This window comes from Homo sapiens, chromosome 6 (genome assembly GCF_000001405.40).
Source record: "Homo sapiens chromosome 6, GRCh38.p14 Primary Assembly".
NCBI classification, from domain to species: Eukaryota; Metazoa; Chordata; class Mammalia; order Primates; family Hominidae; genus Homo; species Homo sapiens.
Genome location: NC_000006.12, coordinates 86,640,723 through 86,647,073, shown reverse-complemented (window position 1 = coordinate 86,647,073; position 6,351 = coordinate 86,640,723).

The window sequence follows — 6,351 nt, the reverse complement described above, 5'->3', positions numbered from 1 at the left end:
TTTATTGTGTCTATTTGATTCTTCTCTCTTTTTTTCTTTATTAGTCTTGCTAGCGGTCTATCAATTTTGTTGATCCTTTCAAAAAACCAGCTCCTGGATTCATTGATTTTTTGAAGGGTTTTTTGTGTCTCTATTTCCTTCAGTTCTGCTCTGATTTTAGTTATTTCTTGCCTTCTGCTAGCTTTTGAATGTGTTTGCTCTTGCTTTTCTAGTTCTTTTAATTGTGATGTTAGGGTGTCAATTTTAGATCTTTCCTGCTTTCTCTTGTAGGCATTTAGTGCTACAAATTTCCCTCTACACACTGCTTTGAATGCGTCCCAGAGATTCTGGTATGTGGTGTCTTTCTTCTCGTTGGTTTCAAAGAACATCTTTATTTCTGCCTTCATTTCGTTATGTACCCAGTAGTCATTCAGGAGCAGGTTGTTCAGTTTCCATGTAGTTGAGCGGCTTTGAGTGAGATTCTTAATCCTGAGTTCTAGTTTGATTGCACTGTGGTGTGAGAGATAGTTTGTTATAATTTCTGTTCTTTTACATTTGCTGAGGAGAGCTTTACTTCCAAGTATGTGGTCAATTTTGGAATAGATGTGGTGTGGTGCTGAAAAAAATGTATATTCTGTTGATTTGGGGTGGAGAGTTCTGTAGATGTCTATTAGGTCCGCTTGGTGCATTTAATAAATGGTGCTGGGAAAACTGGCTAGCCATATGTAGAAAGCTGAAACTGGATCCCTTCCTTACACCTTATACAAAAATCAATTCAAGATAGATTAAAGATTTAAACGTTAGACCTAAAACCATAAAAACCCTAGAAGAAAACCTAGGCATTACCATTCAGGACATAGGCGTGGGCAAGGATTTCATGTCCAAAACACCAAAAGCAATGGCAACAAAAGCCAAAATTGACAAATGGGATCTAATTAAACTAAAGAGCTTCTGCACAGCAAAAGAAACTACCATCAGAGTGAACAGGCAACCTACAACATGGGAGAAAATTTTCGCAACCTACTCATCTGACAAAGGGCTAATATCCAGAATCTACAATGAACTCAAACAAATTTACAAGAAAAAAACAAACAACCCCATCAAAAAGTGGGCGAAGGACATGAACAGACACTTCTCGAAAGAAGACATTTATGCAGCCAAAAAACACATGAAGAAATGCTCATCATCACTGGCCATCAGAGAAATGCAAATCAAAACCACTATGAGATATCATCTCACACCAGTTAGAATGGCAATCATTAAAAAGTCAGGAAACAACAGGTGCTGGAGAGGATGTGGAGAAATAGGAACACTTTTACACTGTTGGTGGGACTGTAAACTAGTTCAACCATTGTGGAAGTCAGTGTGGTGATTCCTCAGGGATCTAGAACCAGAAATACCATTTGACCCAGCCATCCCATTACTGGGTATATACCCAAATGACTATAAATCATGCTGCTATAAAGACACATGCACATGTATGTTTATTGCGGCATTATTCACAATGGCAAAGAGTTGGAACCAACCCAAATGTCCAACAATGATAGACTGGATTAAGAAAATGTGGCACATATACAGCATGGAATACTATGCAGCCATAAAAAATGATGAATTCATGTCCTTTGTAGGGTCATGGATGAAGCTGAAAACCATCATTCTCAGCAAACTATCGCAAGGACAAAAAACCAAACACCGCATGTTCTCACTCATTGGTGGGAATTGAACAATGAGATCACAAGGACACAGGAAGGGGAATATCACACTCTGGGGACTGTGGTGGGGTCGGGGGAGGGGGGAGGGATAGCAGTGGGAGATATACCTAATGATAGATGACACGTTGGTGGGTGCAGCGTACCAGCATGGCACATGTATACATATGTAACTAACCTGCACAATGTGCACATGTACCCTAAAACTTAAAGTATAATAAAAAAAAATTTAAAAAATAAAAAAATAAAAAAAATAAAAAATAAAAAAAAATAAAAATTTTGTGCAACTCAACCTATGAAGATATGATTTTGAGCGTCTGAGAAAATCATTTTTTCTTCTCAAAACCTGATTTTCACAACCATTATTTCCTTATAGAGCTTAAAAAAAAAAAAAAAAAAAGAAAGGCAGGAACATTCTTTTAAACACACTATTTATAAAGCCAAGGTCTAAACACAAGGTAAATGGATGGTGTTTTAAATCTTAAGTTCTATTGATTCTTCCTTTGGTACATAATGACTGCTGCTCCCATAAAGGAGAGAACTTGCTGAATTTGTGTACATTCAGCCTGTGTTTCCTTAAAACCTACACAAATGCAGTGAGGCCAGGGAGGTGTTAAAAATCCATTTATAAACAGGGCACTCATTGTTTTACTAATCATATGGTGCAGAACTAAGTGTAAACACATCATTGCCTTTGGCAATAGAGTGGCTGCCTTACCCTCAGTTTTAGCTGCATGGAGACTGAGAGGTGGACAGCGTGCAATCCCAGGTGGCAGTCAGGTGAATGGTCCATATCTGCAGGTTATTAACCAGGTTTCCTTTCCCTTTTAAAGCAAATGGTCTTGACTTTTCTAAAACTTCATAGAACTGCTGAGCTGGCTAAGGTCAAGGCGGAATGTGAGAAAAAAGCTAACAGATCTGGAGATGGGTGATTACAGTGGCTGGCACAGAGTTAGGACTCAGCTGTTTTTGGAATAAGTGAATGAACAAATTAGTACTAATGCACAGTGCCCAGAACTTTGTATGCATGCAGTATATTGTAGCTGCATTATTGCTTTAGTTACTTGCTGATCATTTTTTTCTCTTCTGTTTTCCTTCAATAATGTTAGGTTCTCTTGGTAATTTTAATAATCTCTTCCTCCACCAAGAACCTTTTAAATTAAAGAATATTCCAAAACCAGTGTTTTCTTCTATAAGAAGGATGAAAAATGGCTTTAGACAACTTTCTTTCTTTCTTTTCTTTCTTTCTTTTTCGTTCTTTTTCTTTCTTTCTACTTTCTTTCTCTGTCTCTCACTCTCTTTCTCTTTCTTTCTTTCTTTCTTTCTTTCTTTTTCTTTCTTTCGTCTTATTGTTGATCATGGTGATAGAGACAATGGTAGTGAAGCTGCAATGCCAAAGGCAGAAAGAACATAGCACAAAGTGGAAGGAAAAAAGAAAGCAGTTGAAGATCATGGCAAGACAGATTTAAAACAACTAGGAAAATGCAGAAAGAACTTAACAATCTAAATATTTGGTCATATAAAAAGGCAATAAGAAAACAAGGTAAGAAAATTTCTTCATGTCATACTGGACAAAATTGCATAGCAGGGAGGTAAGTAGAAGTCTAGTCTTACTATTCAGGGTTAACAAGGGAGAGGAATAAGAAACACTGATACTGGCAGGGAGTGGGGATCTGTGAGGGCACAGGACCAGCAATATTGTCCCCAGCTCTTGTTTGGATTCCAGTTCTGCTGGACATTCTAGTCCATCCTGACACCAATGGCCAGTACTCCTGGGACCATGTTGTCTAAATATTGAGCTACATGTGTCACCATCAGCTGGAGGTTCTAACTATTCTGTTCCAAGGGTCAGACCAGATCCTTGGAGACTGCCACTGGCTTGGAACCAAGCCAGTGCTCACTGCTTCTGGACTCAGCTCAGTCCAGAACCCCTGGGTTCTTGCTAACCCCAGTTTTCCTATTCTCAGCTCCCTCCCATGTCCTCACTAGCCCCTTTGTTATGCTTTCGGTGTACCTGTTGTTCATGTCTAGGGGGTTATGAGAGTCTAGAAACTGTTCTGGCTAATATCCAGTTTGGAAAATGTCATTATGCTTTGGGAAATGTAAGAGGGCGGAACGTTTGTGTGTTCAGCAGCATTCCAACAATGGAACTACATTCAGCACAACTTCAACCTGCTGCTTTTGTAGCAGCAATATTTGTACCTCAGAACCAGTAAAGAGAAATGAATGTCACTTTATAAAACCCTTCTTTGCCTGGTTTGGTGGCTCGTGCTTGTAATCCCAGCGCTTTGGGAGGCCAAGGCAGGCAAATAGCTTGACCCTGGGAGTTTGAGACCAGGCTGGACAACATGGTGAAACCCCGTCTCCACCAAAAAAAAAAAAAAAAAAAAAAAAAGAAAGAAAGAAAGAAAAATTAGCCATGCATGCTGGTGTGTACCTGTATACCTGTAGTACTAGCTACTTGGGAGGCCAAGGTGGGAGCATCACTTGAGCCCAGCAGGTCAAGGTTGCAGTGAGCTGGGAAAAAGAATAGTGGGTGAAAAGGAGGTCTTTTCAATTCTGCACTTATTTAGCCTCTATCAAGCCTGGCACTATACTACAAAGACCAAAAAGGCATAGTCCCTGACATGTAGGCGCCCATAATCTGGAAGATGAAATGTACAAACAAAGTAATTTTAAGTTCGTGTTTCTAGACTTAGTCTCCTCTATGATTTTTTGCCAAGATTATCACCTGGAGTTGTACCAACTTATTCTTGGTTCTGATTTCTACAAGAACACAAATAAGTGAACGCTTAGCTTTGCTTAAGGGGTACAGGAAGAGGGGAGGGTCAGGGACAATTATGGAGGCAAGTAGCGTTAAGCTTTCCCTTGAAGGATAAATTGTAGTTTATCATATTGCATACTCCATGAAAATAGGCATCTATTTTGCTCACCTTTGTGTCTCAAAACATTATCTGGCACAGAGAAAAAGGGCAATAGCATTCCTAGCAGAAGAAACACCCATTAACAGAGGCAAGAGAAGTGAGCTGCTAATGTATATTAGTTGAGGTAATGCTGTTATAACAGAAAAGTTTCAAAGATTCAGTGCTGCAACACAATACAAGTTTGTTTCTCACTCATGTAAATGCCTAGTGTGGATGTTCTTGGTTGGCTAGTGGCTTTCTTCCACATGGCAATTTAGTGTCCTGTGTTCCTCACATCTTGTGGCTGTACCATCACCTAGGGCCTCAGAGGGTTCACATGCAGCTAATGAGTGAGAAAAACAAGATGGAGAAAGCAAACCCCCTCATCTGGCATAACGACTTAATTTCCTTGAACATAAATGACACACAGCACTAGTCCGGGGGTGAGGACTAGTCTAGAAACAAGGGAAACTGGGAAATATAATCCTTGTTTGGGCAGCCACTTATCAGAAACCACTTTGTACTGTGAAAGCAGGGAACAGATTGTTGGTGGACAGTTAGCTTTCTCTGCAACAAGGAAGAGTGAGTTTAATGAGGCAGGAAAAGGGGATACAGGACAAAAGGGTATGAGGTAAGAGGAGGAAGGTAAGCAGCCTGAGGCCACATTGTGTTCATACACAGGCACTTATGCACATGCAAGATTCCAGAGGCAATGTGGAATTCTTCTCTACAGAAAGAACTTTATCTGTAGGAAGCTTAAGGTGCAGAGAAAAAAAACAAAAGAGACTTTTCATGTGACTTTTAAAATGAAGATCCAATGCTTGAAAGCTCCTAATGTTTCCATATTCCCACAGCACGTTTCTATTTCTCTCCAAAACCTCTTTGCATGGTGGAGACTTCAGGTGCATCTCTCAGATTGAAACATGTCTCCTTCTGCTTTAGCAGGCACCCAACCTAGTTGAAATCATTCTGGTCAAAATTTTCCCTTTTAATTTAACAGAAAGTCAAAATTTATGTTTATTGTTGCCAAGTATACTAGTAAAGTCCCCCAGCTACACATTTTTTTCAGTAGAAGGAAATTAGATGGGGCTAAAACACTTCAGGTGACACATACAAATATTTGCCATCTCTGAGGTTGTGTTCTGTAAAGAATTTTAACAACCCAAGGCTGGTGATGTCTCAGGATGTATATTTAAAACAGTTTGTTTAAGGACTGCATTTTAGAAATATATTTAAATGCTAACTTGGCACAACCTCCTCAAACATTCAAGATTTTTTTAAAAAGCACCTCATGCTCTTTTTCCTTCCAGACAATATTTTAAGAACTTAACCTTTTTATCAAACTGTAATACATTGTCAAATGACTCAGTGCTTGGTTCTATGATAGACTGTTGTTCAAAAATATCTAAATCTAGAAAATGTTTCTTGGTTTAGCAGTTCCTAATTTGCATCCACTCTGGCCTTCAAAAGTCATCCCTCCACCTTCCCAGCACACATGTTCTGACTGGGAAGACCCTGGTTTATGGAGACATGGTGAGAAAGCACCTAGGTAGTGGGAGCATGGTGTCTGGAGTGGAGGCATCTCGTCATCTTTCTCCTTGCTTACACTCATTTCTTTCATTGCACTTCCACAGATCTTCCTGCTTGTCTAGTGCATGTGTATAGAAGTGATCACTGAAGCCCAAGGATAAAAGTGAGTATTAAAGATAGAAAGTATCTCTAGAAGGAAAAGCCTTAGATAGATCCTAGGGGGATACTTA